The sequence below is a fragment of the Homo sapiens genome, chromosome 11 (assembly GCF_000001405.40).
Source record: "Homo sapiens chromosome 11, GRCh38.p14 Primary Assembly".
Classification (NCBI taxonomy): Eukaryota; Metazoa; Chordata; class Mammalia; order Primates; family Hominidae; genus Homo; species Homo sapiens.
Genome location: NC_000011.10, coordinates 111,396,373 through 111,419,058, shown reverse-complemented (window position 1 = coordinate 111,419,058; position 22,686 = coordinate 111,396,373). Strand labels below are relative to the sequence as shown.

Here is a 22,686-nt window from a genome sequence, read left to right as displayed (position 1 = left end):
AGAAGAGATTAGGACACAGATAGGTATAGAGGGAAGACCATATGAAGACAAAGAGAGAAGGCGGCCATCTGGAAGCCAAGGAGAGGAGCTCCCAGAAGAAACAACCCCGCTGACACCTTGACCTTGGACTTGCAGTCTCCACAATGGTGAGGAAGTAAATTTCTGTTCTTTAAGCCATCCAGTCAGTACTTTGTTTTGGCAGCCCTAGTGAACTAAAACAAACTCCTGCAGACGTGGCAGAGAGGGTTTGCAGAAGGGCCAAGAGAACGGTGGCTTAGATGCTTCCGGTTTTCCCAGCTTCTTCATGGACTCTCAAGGTTGGTGGTATCCCTTTGGCTTCTCTAGTTCTTTCTGCTTCAGGGAGCTACCAACCTCCTCTGGTTTTGGTGGTTAGCCTAAGTAGCTAGTAAATAGAGTGTTTCTACTCTTAATCTTATTTCCCCTTTATGAAAACCTTATGATAGGCGCTGCAGAATCTCCATGTCACCCAGCATCGTTGGTCCCGCCCTCTGGAAGCTCACATTCTATGCGGAAGACAGACATGAGGATCACTTCACTGCAGCATAGGAGGTGCTGTGATAGTGCTCAGCAGGGGGCATGAACTAAGGAGGACACCTTGAGCCCACCTGAAGAAGAAGGTCACAGAATGCTTTGTGATGATGATGGCCAAGCCTAAAGTCTGTCAGTTCTTTGAGGACAGAGGCTGGGTCTTTCTCACCTTCCTTCACCCATGGCATCTAGCACAGCACTTTGCACATAATAAGTGCTCATCTAATGTGTTGGGCGAATGGCTCTCTTAAAGTCCCTTCCAGCTTCATGATGCCATAATTCTGTGGCCTCAGAGGTCCCACAGCAGTCAGATGGCTTAAGGTGCTGCTGGCAGACGGCGTGAAGGTGAACAGACATGGGGTTTTATGATATGCAAAATCACTCATGAACAACTAAACTGGAAACCAGGGAGGAGAGCATAATGAGCTTCCCTTCTTAGCTTAGATTTCTAGGAGAATCCTCAGGCATAACAACAGGAACACAGCCAGTGCAGCTGCCCCACGTGGATGATCAGAGGCGACGTCTTACTCTCCACAAAGCCAAGTTTGGTCAAGCTCCTCACAGCTGTTTCCCACAGAGAGGAAATCCCCTAAGTTCCCAGGCAGTGTAAACTGACCGTGTGTTTATAAAATAGACGCCATGCCCCAAGAACATGAAAACAGTCCAGATGCATGAACCTGCAATGCAGCAGTGATTCAAGACACTTGGGAGTAGGGAGGAGAGCGTGAGTGAGAGAACGCTTCAATGCCGAAGCAGAGTGGCTGTTCTCTGGAGAACACCCAAACTGATCTAAAGCCAAAGTTCAAAAAATAACAAACATGCAAGCCTTTTGAAAACAAATTGTGCCTAGATATCTTTGCAAGCTGAGTGGTCAGCCCTCAGACAGTGCTATGAGGGAGTGATTGCAGACCACCCAGCACCCAAGGAATTAGGGGCAGTTCATGCTGTCCCTGTGTCCAAGGGCTCCGAGAGCTCAGATTAAAATTCTTTCTGCCCAGCTTTTGCAAGATGGAACCAAAAGAGCCCACTTGTGAGAAGGCAGGGGATTGAGGAGGGTCCCCTCCTCCCAGTACGGACTGTGTGGTGCCTTCAGATGAGCTGTTTTGTTTCACGCTGAGCTGAGCTCACCTAGGCGATGACCTTGTGACAAGAATACCAGGCTGAGTCCAGATCAGCAAAGAGGGGACAGGAAGAGGAAGAGGAAGAGAGAAGCAAGTGCAGCCATGCGAAGCTGTGACTGACAGAAGCCAAGTCAGAACTGCTGGTTAACATAATTTTTAATCCTTCATCAGGGCTGGTAAAATGTTGACAAAGGAGAGTCCTTGTAGTGAATCTCTCAGTCTATTAAGAAAGCTGTTTCAGACCCAGGGACATAAGGCAGGTGTATTGGAGTCATCAGACTCTCTACAAAATATTAGTCATCAGCTCTGCAAAAACCCCGTGGGCTGCACTGGGGCGTGAGTCCCTCAAAGTTTAACTAAACATGGCAAACTGGATGTACACAGACAACCTTAATAGCTTCTGGGGATTCTGGAAAGAGCTGGGGACCGGCTCCCTTAAAAATCTACTCTAAGAAAATTCACCGCAGGCCCAGCGTGGCTCCTGACCTGGAGGATAACAATGATAATGGAAGTGCTGTTAAAAGTAAGAATGACTATGAGTTATTGAGTTTTTCATCTGCTCAGGCACCGTGCTGGGCCTACACAGTATCTCATTCAGTCCTACTAAGGACCATTACTGTCCCTTTCCTACCTAGGGGAAAAGGAGATTGAGAGAAGTCAAACCGCTTTCTCACGGTGACAGGGTAGGCGGTGGAGCCAGAATACAAATGCAGGGGCTCCAGCCTCAAAGCCCGTGCTCTCTGCTCACATTGGCCCACCCAGGACAGACGCTGTCGGGATGTCCTGGGGGTTTCACACTGTTAAGAAATAATAACGAGTGAGAGCCAAGGTGTACTCTGGATCTACCTGAAGCACCCAACTCACTCCCTTCCATGATGTGACTAACGGCGTTTCAGATCTGTTTGTGCTCCGACCTGACCTCAGGAAGCCAAAGTCCCCTGAGGTCTGGGGTGTGTATGCTTGGGGACCCGAAATTAGAGGCACACCTACCTAGGATTGAATGTAACGATCTAATCAAGAAAAGGTGTGTGTGTGTGAGCCAGAGTGAGAAAACGAGAGAGGGAGAGAGAGAGAAAGAGAGGGAGAGAGAGGAAGAGAGGCCCAGTTTGTTTTCCAGGGGACAGAAAAGGAACTGATGAAGGCCCTGAAAATTCAGTCCAGGCAACTCCATCCCCCTATCAGGCTCAACCCTCAGTAGTACCCCAGCTTTCCCTTCCCCACATCCTCCAAGCTCTTTCTCCTTAACAGCTAAAGACACCTTAGGCTGCCCAGAATGAAAAATATCCTGGAACTTAACAACAAAGGAGCTGCCATGTTCCACTGTATTTCTTTTCTTTTCTTTTTTCAGACAAGGTCTCACTCTGTTGCCCAGGCTGGAGTGCAGTGGTGTGATCTTGGCTCCCTGCAGCCTCGACCTCCTAGGCTCGAGTGATCCTCCTGCCTCAGCCTCCCGAGTACCTGGGACTATAGGTGTGTGCCACTGCACCCAGCTATTTTTTTTTCTTGATTTTTAGTAGAGACAGTCTTGCTATATTGTCCAGTCTGATGGCAGACTCCTGAGCTCAAAGGATCCTCCTGTCTCAGGCTTGCAAAGTGTTGAGATTACAGGCATGAGCCACTGCACCTGACCTCCACTGTATTTCTAAACTGTGGGTCTCTGGCTCCTCTAATTTTCCCCCACCCCGTAGGCCCAGCCTCCAGGGCTGCCATGTCTTCCCCTCCCAGCTCTGCTCTGGAGGCCTGATTCTCTGGGAGGCTGTTGGGCTCACCATTGGGAAAGGCCATCCTTAGGTCACGTGGGGCCATAAGCAATACCAGCCTCCTCCTCCTGCCATTTTGCACATCAGGAGATACACCAGGAACCTCAGTGTCTCTCTTTCTCTCTCTAGCCTGGTCTCTGGGACCTAGGTCAGGAGGGCATGATGCTTTCAAATAGAAGAAGAAATCTCCAATTCTTTTGCCCTCTGTCTTTGCAAGCCCTATCTTTTATATTCACTTCCTCTGACTTCTCAGTAAACATTGGTTTGAAAGTGAATGGTATTATCAGCTGCCAGTTTACAATATAAGGGGGTCTGTAGAGGAATGAAGGAGAAGCAGCTTTGGAGGAGGGAAAAGTGATCAAAATTAGGTTTCCGTCCTTTTGGGTTGCAGGGGAGGCGGGGGTCACTGGTAACAGTAAGCCAATAACAGGGCTTTGCAGAGCAGGACTAATTCTGTGTTCTGCACTGGGTGAGGCAGGTGCAGTTGCCACCTGGGCTTCGATCTGGGTCCCAGAGGAGTTAGTTCATATCTTGGGGCCATCTTGCAACTGCAATCCCATTTTGAAGCCAGGTAGCAGAGTTTGTGCTCATAGTCATTTATTCTTTTTAACTGTTTCTGTCTTTTATTCTCCTTCTGTGTTTTCCAGAGCAGTCTTCTTCCCTCTCCCCAGCCTCCCCAAAGACCTGCAAATTTTGTTTTCTGTTAAGTGCTCATCTCCCCCGACCCCCCTACAGCTGGGGAAGGTGTTGGTATCTCCAGCGACTTCAGGCTTCAAGTTTCCTTCTAGGAGGTACAAGTTGGCTGCCCATGCAAATCAGTTTTGCCTGGGGATCTTGGGAGAAGAAAGGGAAGCTCAGAGGAGGCACTGATCTTGCCCTGTGTTTTAGGGAAGCTGCTTTCGCTGCTGCTTTCAAGTGACCCGGATCTCATTAAACATACTGATGTGGGGTGTGCTTCTGAGAAGGTGCCTGAGAAATGAACTTGGCTTGCTTGTTGCCTTTGAGGGTCTGTGGGAGAGAATCATAAGCCTGTCCAGATCTTATCTTCTCAGGAAGGGGCAGGAAAACAACACAGCAAAACAGCTGCCCGGACGAGAACACCATCTAGTGTCTTCACACAACACACCCACATTTGGTGGTTTCTGTTTCCCATGAAGATGAAAGAGGAGGGGAGAGGCGTGTCAGGGATTCCCTGAGCCCTGATAGGAGGGTTCAACTGGGCGAGGAAGGGACCATCAGGCCAACCCATGTAGGTGGACCCACTCAGCTCTCAGGACTCATCTCCTCCACCTGGACCGCTCTCCCTGGTGGGGCATTGAGGGACTGAGGGCTCTGGTTTTGTTCTCTAGAAGAGGTGATCCATCATTAAAAATCTATTAAACATGCACTCTGTGTCCACCTTGTACTCTGTGGAAGCCAATTAGATACAAGACCATCCTGGCCCATGTGCAACTTCATTAAACCAATCACCAATAAAGGAAAAATTAAGTAACATGTAACACACGTGCTCAAATCACACACATGAGCAGTTAGGTGGTACATGACTAATTGGCAAATGAAAGACACATTCACTCTCAGTTTGCTCCTACACTGACATTTCGCTGAATGAACGGAACAGTCAGAAGGGTAACACACCACTGCAGCTAGCTGAGGTGGGGGCGGGAAGGGGAGGGTCTTAGATAGGGCAGCGTGGCCTGGCTGGAGCTACGCCAGTTGTAATATGAAGGACTTGTTTTCTGGATGGATTCAGGGCCAAATTTGCCATGTTCCCGGAAGGCTCTGGTTGTACCTTCTTGGAAGACATCCATCCTACCTGCTCTCATCTGTCCCCTTCTCTTCGATCAGAACCTACTGCTGAGCCTTCCTCCATTGCTTGCTGTAACACACTCTGATATAGGTCCCCTGCTTCTACCCTTCAGAATGATGCCAGCAGCAGCTTGTCTGCTATTGCCTTGGCCAGGATAAATTCTAACTGAAATGCCAATAGAAATGAATTGAATGGAATGGAAGGTAATTGGTTTGGGCAAGTCTCAGCTCTGTTTCTCACTAGGTATGACTGTAAGCCTCAATTTCCTCATCTGTAAAATGAGTACAAAAAGGATATCTTTATTGTATGATTGTTATGAGGATCCCAGGAGATAATGAATGTGAGGGCACCTATCACAGCACTGGGTGTGTGTTCAGAGTCTACTGCTATGTGGGCATTCACCAAGGCCCATGCCAAAGCAGTGCTTCTCAAACCGGCGTGTGCATTCCGATCACCTGAGGAGCTTGTGAAACATGTGGATTCTGATTCAGTGGAACTGGATGGGGCCTGAAATTCTATATTTCTAGTAAGTTCCTGAGCTGGTTCAAGGACCACACTTTAAGTAGCAAGGTATAAAAGGACTTTGTGATCGGAATTCTGCATTTCCATGACTCACTCGAGTGCTGACCCTCCCCTGCATTGATGGTTTACGCTGACTCTTGCCTTCTCTGTGTTTGGAACCTTTTCCACCTCCTTCTAGTCTCTATCTCACTCCACCTCTGTTGCTGGCCTTTTTGGCACCTCAATCTACTTACCCCAGTGGCCTCTGACTCTGCACTTCTCTCCGACTCTGCCTTCTAGAGTGGCATTGCTCACACCGACCACCCGTCTTTAATGCTTCTGGTCTAGTGTCACAAGACTCTCTTAAAATTTGCCTGAGGTAACCTTTGGATAAAGCCCAACCCATTTTCCTTCTCCCCTGGGCTTCCAGGAAGCTTACAATGAAGTTTTGTGTTGAGTTATAACATTCTCTCCCCAAGTTTTATGATAAAATTAGTTTCTTCCCACTCGCCATTCTTCCGTTATGACTTGGTTCTTACAGATTTTATTTTTTTGTCTTATTGTAGGTGTTGCTATTTGCTAGCTGAGTGATCTTGGTCAAGTCACTTAACCTCTTTGGGATTCTGTTTTCTTTCCTATAAAGTGGGGATAATGAAGGTACCAACCTCGTAAGACTGTTGGAAGGATTAGATGAGTGAATATCTGTAAAGTCCTTAGAACAGTTTTTGACACATAGTAAGCACCACATGAATGTTATTCACTGTTGTTGTTATTATTCTATAAACTGCCTCAAACCCTTTTGAAAGTGAAAATGGTATCATCATCATCAGAAAAGCCGTGTCAGCATCAAAGTGGTATGCAATACACCATGAAATTATTGTATTACCCTGAAATACATAAGTTATGGGACATCTTTTAAGCTAGAAAGAAAGAAACTTAGGACAAATTAAATCAAATACAGATAGTAAACTTTAAGAAACTCGTTTCTTGTATCCTAAAATCAAGTAGTTCCAAGATGGATTGAAATGAAATAGAATTTGTCCTACCCACCTCTGTGCCTTTGAACCACAGCAGCCTACTGATAGGCCATAACATCTCCACATCACAAAGTGGGCTTTGAGCATTGTAGTCTTGATTGAAACAATTCTTTTGAACCTGCTCACTTCTTTTCTACCCTGTTCTAGCTTTCTGGTCTATTGTAGCCCTGGACTCTTGGGCCTTGTCTCTCATTTCTGGTCCAATTAATTTCTTAAACCTAATCACTGGATTCAGCTGACCTGATTTGACACCGTTGCCTTCTCTGACTTATCATATTTCTGTCTGCTTCAGGACACCATTCCACTGGATTTTGCTCTAGCTCCTAGGACTTTACTGGATGACCTTCTGGGGTTCTCATGTATCTGCCTCATACCTTCATGATTCCCTCAATGAATTTATTTTATGTCTATTCTGTGCCAAACACTGATATAAAGGCTAAGGAATATAGAAATAAAAAAAGACCAACAAAAATCAGACAAAATTTTGGCTACCATGGAGCTTACTTTTTTTGTTGGAGGAGACAGACATAAACAAATCAATAAATGCTGTATACTCTATATTCTTAAAGTGTGATCCATGGGCCAGCAGCAACGGTATCATCTGAAAGCTTGTTACAAGTGCAGAACCCAACCCTATACAGTCAGAATCTGCAGGTAACAAGATCCTTGGTTGATTTGTGTGCACATTACAATTTGAGACATGCTGCTTGTACAAGATAGTGTGTCCATGATATGAAGGAAAAGAAAGCACGTTAAGGGATTAGAAAGTGGAGGTGGGGTGGAATGTGCATGAGTGCTATTTCCAATAGGATGGCCAGGGAAGGCTGCCTTGGTAAGACAACATCTGCTCAGTGACCCGAAGAAAGGAGGAGCATGCCAGGTAAATCTTTTCCCAGCAGAGGAGACAGTGAGTGCAAAATCCTCTAAGCAGGACCATGGTTGGCCTGTTCAAGGAGCGGCAAGGGGGTCAGTGTGCCTGGAGCAGAGTGAACAGGAGGAGAGTAGAAGGAGACAGGAGCAGGATGAACAGGAGGAGAGTAGAAGGAGAAAGGAGCAGGAGGATGCCAGATCATTAGGGTGTGGGTCAGAATGAGAACTTGAGACTCCGCCCAAGTGGGATGGGAAACCATTGGAGGGTTTAAAACAAAGCAGGGGCATAGTTATGCCTTAAAAGGATCACTCTGGCTGCTGTTACTGTGGAAGAACAAAATTAGAGGCAACAAGACCAGGTAGAGAAGGATCACGTTAATCTAGGGTAGAAATGATGATAGCTTAGGCTAGTGTGGTAATGTCGGCGGAGATGCTGAGAAGTAGTTGTATATTAGACATATTTTGAAGGTAAAATTAATAGGATTTTCTGACAGGCTGGGTGCAGAGGATGAAAAAAGGAGGGAAGCCAAGGACGACCCCAAGTTTTTTGTCCGAGAAACTTAGATATGATTGCCATTTGCAAGAGGAGCTGATTTGATGGGGAAAATTGTGGATTTTGTTTTAGACATGTTAAGTTAGAAATGCTTACTGGAAAATCAGTAGACAGGTTGAGGATGCATTTGCTTATATGAGTTAAGGTTTGTGGGAGACATTTAAAGTAGGATGGACTTTAAGGATCTTCTACTTCATCTCACAGCTGAATAAACTGAGTCTGAGTGAGGTGAGGTGGCCTTGACCAAGGGCACACAATGAGTTGGTCATAGTGCTTACTTTTGGTCTTTTGTACTCATTGCATGCTATCTCTCCGTGCATGGAGAGACAGCAACAAATTAGGTCAACAAATTATTAAGGTAAATTTGTTTATTTGGAATTCCCAAACCTTATAGGGTTGTGGAAATGAAAGAAAACCCATCTTTGATATTTCCTGCCAAAGCCTCATTCCTAGGCTAGAGGGCTCATGGGTTGGATTCTAGGGGCCATTCTTGAATCTCTAGTTATATCAGGAGGATTGCTTGAGCCCAGTAATTTGAGACCAGCATGGGCAACATTGTAAGATCCCTGTCTCTACAAAAAATTAAAAAATTAGCTGGGTGTGATGCTGTGCACCTGTAGTCCAAGCTACTTGGGAGTCTGAGGTGACAGAGCCAAAACCCTGTATAAAAAAAAAAAGAGTTTCAGAAAGGCCCATAGACTCATTTTACAAATGAGGAAGTTGAGGCTTAGAGCAGTTAAATGACTAATTCAAGAGCCTATTGCAGGTTAGTAACAGACCTGAGACTGGAACTATGTCTTCTGACTTAACAGTGCAAAACTTAGGACTTGGAGTAGGGAGATCTGTCTTCAACTTCCATCATTTCCGTGCACCTAAAGCAGGAAGAATGAGTCCTTCACCTTCTTTAGGTTTTCACTTCCCCAAGTATGTGACACTATGCAAGTTACTTATCACTCCAATACATTAGCTTATTCATTTGTAAAGCAGAGTTAATCAAATGAGATAACTTACATAAAATGTTTCAGGAAATTGCTTTTTTTCCTACTATAGCACACAGCATTTCATATGCCAAAACCATCCAAAAGATAGGAAATCCCAATTGAACCCTTCATTAGGAAGAGGATACTGACATGGGAGAGTCCTGTGCGCATGACTTATATCCCTAGTGTCTTAGTCTGTTTGTGTTGCTATAAAGGAATACCTTGAGATTAGGTAGTTTATAAAGACAAGAATTTTCTTTGGCTCATGGTTCTGCAGGCTGTAAAAGAAGCATGGTGCTGGCGTCTGCTTGGCTTCTGGTGAGGGCTTTAGTGCTGCATCAAGACAGGCAGAGAAGGTCAAAGAGGAAGTGGGCACATGGGAAGACAGACCAAACCTGAGGGACATCCTGGCTTTATAAGAACCCACTCTCATGGGAACTAATCCATTTTCCCAAGAACCAATCCATTTCTCAAGAGCAAGAACTCACCCATTGCCTTGAGAATGGCACCAAGCCATCCCACCACAAGCGATCCCCCTATGACTCACCAGCTCCTATTAGGCCCTGCCTTCAACACCACCACAGTGGGGATGAAATTTCAACATGTGTTTCAGTGGAGTCAAATTATATCTAAACCACAGCACCTAGCCAGCTCCTTTTCCAGCTCCTATCATCTCCTAAAGGGGTGACTTTTAAATTTTTCTCCTCTACCACCTCTTCTATCCCTCTCAGAGGAAATATATGCAGTCAGATGGGAGCTTCTTTGATTTTCTGTAACCACAAACATCTGCATAAACACCCATTCCCATCTCTTCCTCCTTCTGAAATGGCGTTATCCCACTTTTTCCCTTGGCTAACTGCAATTCCCACTTCTTCTTTTCAACTCGACTCAGAGTCCACTGCATCCTGCCCACATCCACCCTCCCATTAGCAGATTGGCTGCCATCTTGTTTCCTCCCACAGCACCTTGTGTCTCCTTGATCACAGCACGAATCCCATTGTCTTATAATATTTGCTTACTCAAAAGCCTCCCTCATTAGAAGGTAGGGATTCTATTTGTCATCCCACCTACCTGGTGCCTGGCACACAGTATGTTCTTGACAAATGTCTTTGTATAGGTGAATAGGTGCACGATGCTCACTTGGGTTGCCCTGAAGATGACTTCATTAGCTTATGTTGCCATCTCTCATGGGTCTGAATTTCCTGGTGAGAGAAGAGTCTTCAGGTCATCCAGGATCTCTCTTTGCACCTCTCACCTTCAGGTAGAAATGAATGAAAGCAAAGGTGCTCTGTTTTGACTACTTTGCTCCAGCTGTACACCTGGTCCCCTGTTTGTCTGAAACCCTCTCTTGAATGGTGCAGGTGAGGACACTGATGTCAGGGATGGCTGCTGGAGGAGGCAGGTGGTCCTGGGCCAATAGCCATATAGCTATAAGCTCTTGGTTTTCCCCGCAGTGAGTCTGCTCGTCCACTCATTCCCGAGCAGCCTCACCTGCTTCTGGGAACCTTTCTTGAGGTCCCCTGCATCTCTTCCCCAGGAGCAGTAAGCCAGGCCCAGGGGGCTCTAAGCAGGTTGTAGTAATGGGGATCTCACCAAACAGGAGACAAAAGGAAGTGGGAGGACGTAAGGGAAATAAATGAGAAGGAGAGGGGATGGCTTCCTGCTTCTCCTGCCCCATCAAGTGTGGCCTCAGCTCCAGTGACTCAGCACAACCATCTCCACCTGTCCTCTGGGACTTGCATCTATGACATGGGCTTGGAGGCTTAGGACAGGGAAGGCTACATGTTCCAAGGGCCTGGCTGAGGTAAGCCTGTGCAGAGTGGAGGGGTCTTAGTGTTCTTTCACTTGCACTGATGGAGCCCCTTTGCCCTGGCACTGGGCTGTGGCCATGGAGGCCTCTGTGCCCTCTCCATCCTAACCCTGACACTCCACACTTTTCCTGCCCTTCTGATTCTCATTGGAAGTCACATATCCTGAGGAATAAGGTACAGTGGTTAGGAACTTGGACTCTGGAGACAGCCCCACCTGGGTGCAAATGGGCTCCACCATGGAACTGCCCTGCAAGTTACTTACCCTCTCTGAGGATGAGCTTTTGCAGTCAAAAGGTGGCAAGTATCTGCTCGTAGTGTTTTGGGAGGACTGTATTAAATAATGCTTATGAGCTGGCTTTTGAGCTTTTGACAAATAGTGACTATTATGCTTTTATTTTTTTGATGGAGTCTCGCTCTGTCCCCCACGCTGGAGTGCGATGGTGCGATCTCAGCTCACTGCAACCTCACCTCCCGGGTTCTAGCAATTCTCCTGCCTCAGCCTCCCAAGTAGGTGGGATTACAGGTGCCCGCCACCATGTCTGGCTAATTTTTTGTACTTTTAGTAGAGACGGGGTTTCACCATGTTGGTCAGGCTGGTCTTGAACTCCTGACCTCAGGTGATCCACCTGCCTTGGCCTCCCAAAGTGCTGGGATTATAGGCGGGAACCACCGCACCCGGCCCATTATGCTATTTTTATAACTACATCTTTCTCTAACCTGCCTTGTCAGAAATAATTCCCTTTCTATGGTGTTATTACAGAACTTTGTATTAATATCTAATCATTTTCATAATAGTATATATAATATATGTTAGATATGTTATATGACACATACATGGTATATATTATATATATATACTATATACTTATATGTATAACTATAGTATATATACTACATAGTATTATAGCATATACTATATAATTGATAGTATATAATAATATATAGTATATGATAATAATAGGAATAACTTTTATTAAATGCTTACCATGTGCCAGACACTGTTTTATGAGCTTTATATGCATTAATTCACTTAATCCTTTCAAGGTAAGTGTGATTGTTATCCAAATTTTCTAGATAAGCAACTAAGGCACAGAGAAAGTAGGTAACTTGCCTAGTGATCTGTAGTAAGAGCAAGAGTAGGATGTGAAATGAGGTAGGCAGGCTCCAGCATTACAGATTGTTGTACATGGGCTTTGCTACCCACCCCTGGGCTGTGAGTTTTATGAGGTGCACTGCCTGGGTCTGATTCATCCTTGTAATCCCACCAACGCCTTGCTTCAGGTCTGCAGATATTTGTGGAATGCCTGTACAAAGGAGATGCCATCAGCAGAATGTACTAGCTCTTCAGTGGCTAATAGCCCCAGGAGGGAGGATGCCAGCTTCCCAGTGCCTACTTCCCAAAACCCTGGCCTCCTGCTCATTTCTGGTCCAACTAAATGGGCTATATCTGAAACTGGCAGCAGTCAGGAGATGTTTTTTCCCCCAGGGAATAGTGCCTATAGTGTACAAGTCATACTGTGATGGGAAAAAATGATGACAAAGATGATTAAAGTAAGAAAAATTGGGTCTCATTTTCCAAGGGATTCTTCTTGAAAAGTGAGCAGAGGCAAGACACTGGGCACAAGCATGAACTCAGCTATGTGGTGGTCAGCCAGCAAAGAGAGATGGTGCTCTGTATCCTATCCAGTGGGCCAGCAGGGCCCTGCTGAGCCATCCACTCATCCCCGACTCCAGGCATGCAGAAGCTGACAGTCACCTGAAGGTCATCATCATCAAAACACATTAGTGTGTAGCCAGCACAGTGGCGTGTGCCTGTAGTCTCAGCTACTCAAGAGGCTGACATGGGAGAATGATCACTTGAGCCCAGTTTAGAGACTCTGTCTCTAAAATAAAAACAAAAGAACATTAGTGTGTATTGAAATGGGCATATGATTGTTGATTTTTAGCAAGTCACTTATGTCTTCTAATCTTAAATTGCATCTTCTCTGAAGTAAGGGCAGTAATAAAACCTGTTACACAGATTTGTTGGGAGAAAATAAAGCATATACATTGCAAAGAGCAGTAAAGATATGTTATATCTGCAGAATGCTGTAATAATTATTATTAAGTAAGGATGTTAGTAATAATAATATCTAATCTCTATACAGCACTTGCTATATGCCAGAAACTCTTCTAAGTGTTTTACACATATTTAATCCTCACAACAATCTTATAGGATAAGTACTATCATTTATTTTACAAGTGAAAAAACTAAGGCACAGAGAGGTTCAGTAGATTGTCCAAAGTCACACAGCTAGCAAGTAGCATAGTCGACATTTGAAATCAGGCTTTGAGTTTGTGCTAACTGCCACGCTATACTTCCTCTTTATGAAGAATGTGAGCATGTACATTTTATAAGCATAATTTCAGGTAGCCCTCCCTCCCCACTCCCTGAACTCTGGCAGTGGCAACATTGGGTTATTGTTCATACTGAGATCAATCCACCCCTGAAAAAGTATCTGGAGTCTGCTACAGATACCAAATCTTGCCAAAGCTTGCCTGGTGTCCCAGAAAACGATAAAGAGGGTCAGTTTTGTTCTCAGTGCGAGGCCAGGTAACTCTGCAAACTCTCTGGGTTCTCATGGTCCTGACATCTTTTTTTTTTTTTTTTTTTTTTTTTTTTTTTGAGACGGAGTCTTGCTCTTGTTGCCCAGGCTGGAGTGCAATGGCGTAATCTTGGGTCACCACACCCTCCGCCTCCCAGGTTCAAGTGATTCTCCTGCCTCAGCCTCCCAAGTAGTTGGGATTATAGGTGCCCACCACCAGGCCTGGCTAATTTTTGTATTTTTAGTACAGATGGGGTTTCGCTATGTTGGCCAGGCTGGCCTCGAACTCCTGACTTCCTGATCCACCCGCCTCGGCCTCCCAAAGTGCTGGGATTACAGGCATGAGCCACCGCGCCTGGCCGGTTCTGACATCTTAATGTCCAGCAGAGTCCTCAGTAGCTGAATCTGACTGCAATGGAGGTGACTCCAGAAATCAGACTACAAACATGCATTAGGCACCCACACTATGACCAGCATAGTGCTGGGATGTGGGGGATGATGTATAAGAAGCAGGATTATGGTCTGTATCTACAAAGAGTTAGCAGTCCAGTTGGGAAGATCCAACAGATGAAACCACAGAATAAGATAACAAGATAACATGAAGTGAAAATGTGATGCTTGAAATTGTTCAATATTGACAATTAGACCATGAGAGATAAAGGGAACATGCTGCTAATTGTATACCATTCAGTTCCTGGTCTTTATATCAAAGCTCCAAGTTTTCATGTCTCCTAGCATGAATGACCTGTCCTTTCTTCCTAGGGAAACAATTCCAAGAAAAAGGACATTCTTCACCCAGCAGCTCCTGCCATATTCACTGAGATGTGTTTTTGTATTTTCCTATGTATTTCTTCATCAGAGATGGTAGGTAAGTCAATGTGGGGTCTGTTACCCTTTGAGTAATAACTGAAAAAGTGAGGAGAGCAGAGGGCACTTGGGTCAAGTTGTTATGTCAGATGATTCCCTGCCCCCTGTTTCATGGTGTGCTTCACCTCTCTAGGGACCTAGAAAATGCTTCCTAACCACAGATGCTTAGGTTGCTTCAGGTAAGGCATCATCTTAATTCTTTGATGGGCCGCAGCCCTTTCTCCTCTAGCTGGATGACATTGGGTAAGTTGCTTACTCTCTTTTGAATTTTAGTTTTCTTCATCTATAAAATGGATGTATTAGTCCATTTTCATGCTGCTGATAAAGACATACCCGAGGCTGGGCAATTTACAAAGAAAGAGGTTTAATGGACTCACAGTTCCATGTGGCTGGGGAGGCCTCACAATCATGGCAGAAGGTGAAAGGCATGTCTTACATGGTGGCAGGCAAGAAAAGAGAACTTGTGTAGGGAAACTCCCCTGTATAAAACCATCAGATTTCATGAGACTTATTCACTCTCATGAGAACAGCATAGGAAAGACCTGCTCCCATGATTCAATTACCTCCCACTGGGTCCCCTCCCACAAGACATGGGAATTCAGGATGAGATTTGGGTGGGGACACAGCCAAACCATATCAATGGATATATGAAAGTGTATGTGAGGACAAGCTGAAATAATCAATACAGAGTCTTTACCATCCTGACTGGTACATAATACATTTTTCTAAAATGATATTTTTGTTATTAGTTCTACTGCTAATATCCTCACATTGCTACCACCATTATCATCACCACCATCATTACCATCAATATCACCAATATCATCAATACTGTCATCACCATCATCATCTAACCAGTACATCCCATGTGCCATTTCCTTAGGACCTATTCAAATGACTTGTTGGTTAATCTGATAAATGCCAAGCTCTGTTTGAGTGAGAGTGGCTTAATTTGTCACCCACTCAGGAATATCTTTATTCAAGTTTGCAGGGGGCAAGGGAGTGACTTGCTGAAAATTAATGCTGACAATTGTAGGCCCCATAGTGGAAGAGAAAGGAAGTTAGTTTTGGTTGAATGGACTTTTGGATGCTTCCCAGATCCCATCCTCTGCATCTGTCAGTTCTGGCCCAGAAATAAACTGCTTCACTGGGTTTTCTCCCTTGTCCCACAATGCAGGTAAAGGAGACCTTAGCCCATGAACAACATTTCCCCTTTCTCCATTAATTACAGTGTCATGGTGAAGGGAGGACTTCATTTTAATTTCAGTCCTACCTAACGCAGTGCCCGGAGGAAAACAACAGAAGTGTTTGAGGTTGGGATTCTGAAGCATAAAAAGCACAGGTTAATTACTTTTGGCTTCACAGGCAGATTTCTATGTACACAATTGTGTTTCATCTTTGTAACCTGAGGCTCTACTTTGAGGGTTTCTCAAGTAGAGAAATCACCCATGCTCTGTCCAGAGTCATGCTCGAGTTAAGAGCTCACAGGATGATGGGCATAAATACCACTGGAGCAGCCCTGTGACTCTTGGGGCCCACATAAGAGAAGTCTTTCTATGGAGTGAGATTGATTTGGTAATTCAGAAGGCTAAAGGGACTTATTCTGAAATTTTTGCTTTGGGGCTCCCATTTAATGTTCCACTCTGCAAAGCGGTGATCAGTTCCATTGAAATTCTTCACCAAGTCAACACAAATTTCAATGTGGAAATGAGTGTGTGGAGACATTTCTGATGTATTATTATTATTATTATTATTATTAATTTGGTCTTGGCTGAAAACACAGTTAGACCTTTGTGCAGAATGTGGATTCTGAAAGGCCATTGAAGGCCGGTTGGGAGAATCTTTAAGACATCTCAGGGGAACAGTCAGCACAAATACAGCACATGCCAGCTTGCCTTGAGGCTGGGAAGGCTAAAGCTTTCTCTGTAGCACCCCCACTCTTCCTACACACTAACCCTGAGAGGATCTGGAAGGCACATCCCCTTGGCTGGTACAGGAGGCTTGTTCCATTCATCCATCGAACAAATATTTGTTGAGCGTCTGCTAGTGCCAAACCTATTCTAGGTGCCAAGGATACAGCAGTGAGCCAAAATAGGCAACAATCCCTCCTGACATAGAATTCACTTTTCCTCAGGTTGGTTGAATATTGGTATTTTGTTCTCTCTGACTGTATGTGTGTGTGCATTATGTAGATGTATCTTAGATTTTATATGTAAATCTTAGATTGATACAAAATAACATGTAATAAAATTTAAATATATTGACATATTGTATTAATCACACTGCTAATAAAGACATACCCGAGACTGGGTAATTTATAAAGGAAAGATGTTTAATTGACTCACAGTTCCACATGGCTGGGGAGGCCTCACAATCATGGCAGAAGGTGAATGAGGAGAAAATCACATCTTACATGGCATCAGGCAAGAGGGCACGTGCAGGGGAACTCCCCTTGACAAAACCATCAGATCTCATGAGACTTATTCACTATCACGAGGACAGCATGGGAAAAACCTGCCTCTGTGATTCCATTACTTCCCATCAGGTCCCTCCCATGACATGTGGGGATTATTACAATTCAAGGTGAGAGTTGGGTGGAGACACAGAGCCAAAGCTATCACATATAAATAATATATGAATAAAAATATATAATTATACATTCTTAGATTGTGTGTTCCAAGAAGGCAGGGGTTGAATTCATCCAATTATCTTTGTACAAGCCCAGAATAATACCATTCATTCATTCATTCATTCACTCAACACATACTTTCTGAGAGCCTACTCTGAGTTAGGTGATGGGGATACAGTGATGGGCAGAAAACCCCTCACAGAGATTATAGTCTAATTTAGTAAATATGAAAACAAAGACAGTGAGGCCATGATATTTGTTGACGTTTAATTTAAGTTTATGATGCACAAATCTTAAATCTTACATCCAAAGAGTCATGCTATATTCATTGCTAGTTGACAAATTTTTTTTGCATGAATGACATTGCCCACCCTATGTACAATCTGGTTTTTAAAAATCTTTTTATTTTGAAATATGTTTAGCTTTGCAGAAGGGATGCAAAAATAAAGCACAGAAGATTCCTATGCTCCCTGCTCCCAGCTTTCTTTTCTTTTCTTTTTTTTTTTTGAGACGGAGTCTCGCTCTGTCTCCCAGGCTGGAGTGCAGTGTCTCAATCTCGGCTCACTGCAAGCTCTGTCTCCTGGGTTCACGCCATTCTCCTGCCTCAGCCCCCTGAGTAGCTGGGACTACAGGCGCCTCCACCACGCCCGGCTAATTTTTTGTATTTTTAGTAGAGACGGGTTTTCACCATTCACAGGATGGTCTCGATCTCCTGACCTCGTGATCCGCCCGCCTTGGCCTCCCAAAGTGCTGGGATTACAGGCGTGAGCCACTGCGCCTGGCCCCAGCTTTCTTTAATATTATCAACTTATGCAACTATGGTACATTTATCAAAACTAAGAAATTGGCATTTATGTAATACCATGAACTAACTTACAAACTTTATTTGGATTCACCAATTTTCCTGTTTTTTTTTTTTTTTTTTTTTTTTTTTTATGCTCCAGGTTCCAGTCAGGAACAGCCTATGAAATCATTCATTATCTCTCTTTAGTGTCCTCTGCTCTGTGAGTTTCTCAGTCTTGTTTTTATGACCTTGACAGTTTTGAAGAGTACTGGTAAGGTATTTTATAGAATGTCCCTCAGTTTGGGTTTGTTTGGTGTTGTCTTATGGTTATTCTGGGGCTATGGGTTTTTAGAAAGACTACTACAGAGGTGAAGCAGGCTTCTCACTACATCCTGTCAAGGCTATGTGATATGAACATGACTGGTCACAGATGACATTAACATTGGTCACTTGGTTAAGGTGGTGTCTGCTAGGTCTCTCCATGGTGAGGTTATTTCTTCCCCTTCACATATTCTTTGTTAGAAGCTAGTCATTAACCAGCTCACATGGGAGTGGGAGAGATTAACCTCTATCTCCTAGAGGAAGGCTTCTTTCTTCTTGAGTTTTCCTCACTTATGTGTCTTGTTTTTGGGAATAAGGGCTTAAGAATCATAAGATTATTTTCCTTTGAAGTGATGTTAAAGTTATGCTATATTAAAGTTCAGACATTTAATATGTTTGTACTGCACTTTGTTTAGAACATTCTTCATCATTTAACATGAGCCTGTACAATACAGAGAGAGGGAGGGAAGGAGAGAGATGGATTTTCATTGGCGGGTTCTAAAGTTCTTGTTATTTGTAAATTAACTCCAGTACTACAGATGCAATACGCTTTCCTCAGTTGAAAGCAGTTTTAGCAACTGCCTATTGTATTTTAAGATAAGAGACTCAATAGTAGTTCAATTCACATAACTGTAGAATCATAGAACACTAGGTCTTGGCACAATCATTTGCTCTGGTATCCTCCCTTTACAGATGAGGAAACTGAGGCACAGAGAGGCGGCATGACTTTTCCGAGGTTGCCCAGCCAGTCAGTGGGAGGCTGGGCCTCCTGCTTCTCAGGGTTCTTTTGCTGTAAATTCCTGTCTGACCTCCCCAGTAACAGAGGGGATTTACACTGTCTCCCCTCACTCCACCCTCACCCCACCCTCACCCATCCCGGCTTTCTCCAGGGCCTCCCATTTCTCTCTGTAGATCAGGAATAAGGCCTCTATCCAGGCCATACTTAGGATGATGCAGGATCGCAAATACCCTCACACCTCAGTCCCACTCAGCTCACACCCGCCACCCTGAGGGCAGAAGGACCTCTCAGTCTTCAGTCACTTCCCTGCATCCCATCCCACCAACCTCAGCTGTGGTCTGCAAGTCCCACACCTCTTCTAGCCAGGCTCTGCTATAGGATGGAGATGCTGTGGTTTAAAAGTGGAAGTTCTCTAGTAAATTTGGAGTTCACTCTCAGAGACTGCTGTCCCGGGAACAAGGAGATCAATTCCCTTAGAAGACCAAGCCCGCTTAAAACTGTGGAGGGACTAAGCAAGTAGGTCTTACCTTCTCAAGAGGCAATATGACTCACAGGTTGCATTTGGGAGGTGAAACAGGAAAAACATTGCCCCCTTCCCCCTACCACCCACTTCCCCTGGGGCTAGAAAGTGAAGGGGTAAATATCTGGCTGAATTTGCTCTGCTCAGGAGATATGTCATTTCTCCCCATGAAATGAATGAAGCTTAAAGTCTCATTGGGCTCCTATGTTCAAAAGGAGTCCAAAGATCAAATTCATATGGGGATGCTTTCCAGTGTCTCCCTGGATGATGAAGTTTACAGGAGGTCGGGGAAGAGCTTTCTCATGCCAGAGGCTAAGTGGTATCCAGGGGTTCAGTCAAAATATCTGACTGGCTGGATTTTTCACATTGCCCATTTGGACAGTCTTGGCCGCAGCTGGGGATCCTACAGGAAGCAGAGCCAAAGGTAATGAAAGCCTCCAAGGAAGTGGCTACAATTGTGGCTTCAAGGGCACCTCCTGCATGGGGCTTCCACAGATTGGGCAACCCACGTGGTGACGTGAGTAAAGGTGAGGTTTGGGTGCCTCAGTTTCCCTCTGGGGTTGTGCCTCATCCACATATCCCTCTTGGTCTAGGATCTTCAGTATTCATGCCTTTTCCCACCATTAAGCTCTCTCAGGAAAGCTCAATAACTCTTTTATGCTAGCATGTAAATCACCAGCTCCACGTCAAAATATTAGACCTTTACAGGAATCATTGCTTTTAAATAGGGATAAACATGGTTCTCAACCTTGGCCTTGCAGCAATATCACTTATGATACGTTTATGAAATGTAGAAGACTGGGCCCCATTCAAACTCTATAATGTTAAAAAAAAAAACAAAAACAAAACTCCACAGGTGAATCTCACTCACCACCAGGCCTGACAGCCATTCCTAGTTTAAGTGGGAAGGTGTCACTGTGTGATTCCCAGACCAGCAGCAGCACCATCACCTGGAACATAGAAATGCAAATTTTCACCCCGTCTCTACTGAAAATACAAAAAAATTAGCCGGGCATGGTGGTGGGTGCCTGTAGTCCCAGCTACTCGGGAGGCTGAGGCAGGAGAATGGCGTGAACCCAGGAGGCAGAGCATGCAGTGAGCCGAGATTGAGCCACTGCACTCCAGCCTGAGCAACAGAGCGAGACTCTGTCTCAAAAAAAAACAAAAAAAAGAAATGCAAATTTTCAGCCTGAACGAGACCTCCTGAATCAGAAACTCTGGAGGTGAGGCCTAGCAATCTGATGCATGCCAAAGTTTGAAAACAACTGCTTTAGGCTAAAGGACCAAGGTCTTACTGGGGCATTTTAGTTAAGATTTGGAGTAATGTGGTTGGAAGGCAGGGGTGTCCTCTGAAACTACACTTGGTCAATGGTTGGCCGCTCTGTGAACATATAGAGCTATCTCTGATTGCTTGTCAATCTACTGAAGCTATCTCAGACTTGCAGATGATCAGCAGTGTTGGAGCCTTTTCTTTCGGTAGGAAAGACAGTGATGATTGACCTAAAGCGGCAGCAACACAGTGGCTAATTAGTAGTGGTGATGGTGGTCGTGACTACCCTCTTCTTTCCACTCATGCCCCACAAGCCACAGACTACAAGTGAGAGTGGTAGACAGGGCAGAAGCAGAGGATAAGGTTGTGGTAGGGGAAGTTAATGATTTTATTTAAGAGAAATTACACTGAATTAGAGATCATGGAACTCTTGCACACAGTATTTCTTTAACTGTACATTTATCTTAAAAACAGTGATCCCAAAGCATCACTTGAAGTGTAGTGTCTTTATGGCCTGAAAACACCGTAAATAAGAAAGATTTCCTGAACGTTCTGCTGAAATGTGGTGATATTTCAATTCTAGTCAATAAGCACTATTCTTAGTATTGGGATACATCAATGAACAAGAGACACTGTCTATAACCTCAGGATGTAAGAAGGAAAACAAATCAGCGAGAAGATACTGCCCCTTACCCCCGCTTAAAGAGGAGACACAGATGCCCTGTGAACACCTACCAGTTGGCTGACACCTGGGGCTCAGATAAGTCCTCTCTGGGTAAGTGATGTTTAATCTGAAAACTGAAAATTGAACAGGAATCAGTCAGGCAAAGGGATGAAGGAAAGTAAAGGAAAAGGTGGGGAGAAGAACATTCTAGACAGAGAGAAGCGCTGGTGTGAAGGCCTGGAGTAGAGAGAAACCCTGGTGTGGAAATTTTAAGAACTGCAAGCTGAATATGCTGGATCCTAGAAAGTGTGGGGGAATATGTTAGGAAATGAGGTTAGAAAGGCAGCCATCCCAGCTCCCAGAGGGCCTAGGAAGTTAGATGAAGGATTTAGACTGGGGCCTAAGGGCAATTGGAAGGGCAATTGAAGGATTTAAAGCCATGGAAGAAGATGAGAGATTTGCATAAAACATAAATCTCTTGGCTGCATTTGGAAAGTGGATTGGGGGAGGAATTGTGGGTATTTGGAGACAGTCAGGAGATGGGTGTCATACGGATTAAATTTACAAATGTTTGCTTAGGGAAAATAGGAAACGAACTAAGAAATTAGAAGATTAAAATGTGTGCTTCATCTTATGTTCTTTTTCAGCCCTAGTTTCATTTCTTTGAATGAAACAGCTCTATGAGAGCTCTCTTCAGAGTTTATATGTTCTCGACACTGTTCCTAGCCAGTGGCAATGAATAAATCAACCTATACTAATTGAAAATTAGCTGTGGGCAAACCACAGTATGAAACACTCCTGGGCACCATGGAGGATTCCAGAAAGGCTTGGTCCTTGCCTGTAAGAAACTAACAATCGAATAATGAAAATAAACAGAAACTCTTAACTCTTAACTGTTCATTGAAGATTCAAGCAACATGCGATTAATTATCAAAAAGTGAGGAATTGAATCATAAACACTGTAAAAGGAGGGTTAGAAATGATTTCAGGGAAGTATACGTATTGGGCAAGTCTTTGAAGGATGCTGGGAGGTGGGCAGGCCCACATGCCTGAGAACACATTGAGGGCGGGAATAGCATGAGCTTAGGCCTTGTAGTTGCATCCACATTCGTGGTTACATTTATCTTGATTTTCAGGGAAGGTCGACTGACCCTCAGACATAACAGAAAAGCACACTAGCTTTTGACAAAAAACAAGGGGGTAGTGAATGTTCCCATCGTAATTAGTGGTCACTTTTCTGCTGCACCTGCTGGAACTGCAGCAGAATGGGGGCATGTGGGTAGACTTGGTTGGGAAGGGAAATGGGGCTGACTTGGGA

General features: G+C 44.5%; 1 protein-coding gene and 1 long non-coding RNA gene across 16 annotated transcripts in view, besides 6 other annotated features; both read left to right on the top strand.

Annotated features, from left to right (window-relative positions):
- BTG4 (BTG anti-proliferation factor 4) overlaps positions 1 to 22,686 on the top strand; it is a 130,900-nt gene that overhangs the window by 95,667 nt on the left and 12,547 nt on the right. For 7 of the 15 annotated variants that reach the window (XM_011542876.3, XM_024448589.2, XM_024448591.2 and 4 more), the window contains one exon: positions 14,337 to 14,438. In XM_011542876.3, the coding sequence (XP_011541178.1) occupies positions 14,337 to 14,438 (102 nt within the window). Of the gene's footprint in view, positions 1 to 14,336; positions 14,443 to 18,014; positions 18,075 to 19,816; positions 19,962 to 21,287; positions 21,480 to 22,015; positions 22,262 to 22,686 lie in introns of those variants that run through there. The other 8 variants (XR_947835.3, XR_947834.3, XR_947852.3 and 5 more) reach the window with 8 other exon arrangements.
- Positions 873 to 4,817, top strand: LOC100132078 (uncharacterized). Its single transcript, NR_046085.1, has 4 exons — positions 873 to 2,694; positions 3,019 to 3,140; positions 4,078 to 4,221; positions 4,319 to 4,817. It is a non-coding gene; the product is annotated as an uncharacterized LOC100132078 (long non-coding RNA).
- Positions 1,018 to 1,127: an enhancer, noted in NCBI's record as "active region_5515". NCBI's record gives its function as "activates an Ori minimal core promoter by ATAC-STARR-seq in GM12878 lymphoblastoid cells {active_cell/tissue: GM12878}" and the evidence as "EXISTENCE:reporter gene assay evidence [ECO:0000049][PMID:35858748]".
- Positions 2,178 to 2,247: an enhancer, noted in NCBI's record as "active region_5514". NCBI's record gives its function as "activates an Ori minimal core promoter by ATAC-STARR-seq in GM12878 lymphoblastoid cells {active_cell/tissue: GM12878}" and the evidence as "EXISTENCE:reporter gene assay evidence [ECO:0000049][PMID:35858748]".
- Positions 2,468 to 2,517: a silencer, noted in NCBI's record as "silent region_3895". NCBI's record gives its function as "represses an Ori minimal core promoter by ATAC-STARR-seq in GM12878 lymphoblastoid cells {active_cell/tissue: GM12878}" and the evidence as "EXISTENCE:reporter gene assay evidence [ECO:0000049][PMID:35858748]".
- Positions 4,448 to 4,787: an enhancer, noted in NCBI's record as "active region_5513". NCBI's record gives its function as "activates an Ori minimal core promoter by ATAC-STARR-seq in GM12878 lymphoblastoid cells {active_cell/tissue: GM12878}" and the evidence as "EXISTENCE:reporter gene assay evidence [ECO:0000049][PMID:35858748]".
- Positions 9,083 to 9,142: an enhancer, noted in NCBI's record as "active region_5512". NCBI's record gives its function as "activates an Ori minimal core promoter by ATAC-STARR-seq in GM12878 lymphoblastoid cells {active_cell/tissue: GM12878}" and the evidence as "EXISTENCE:reporter gene assay evidence [ECO:0000049][PMID:35858748]".
- Positions 19,225 to 19,444: an enhancer, noted in NCBI's record as "active region_5511". NCBI's record gives its function as "activates an Ori minimal core promoter by ATAC-STARR-seq in GM12878 lymphoblastoid cells {active_cell/tissue: GM12878}" and the evidence as "EXISTENCE:reporter gene assay evidence [ECO:0000049][PMID:35858748]".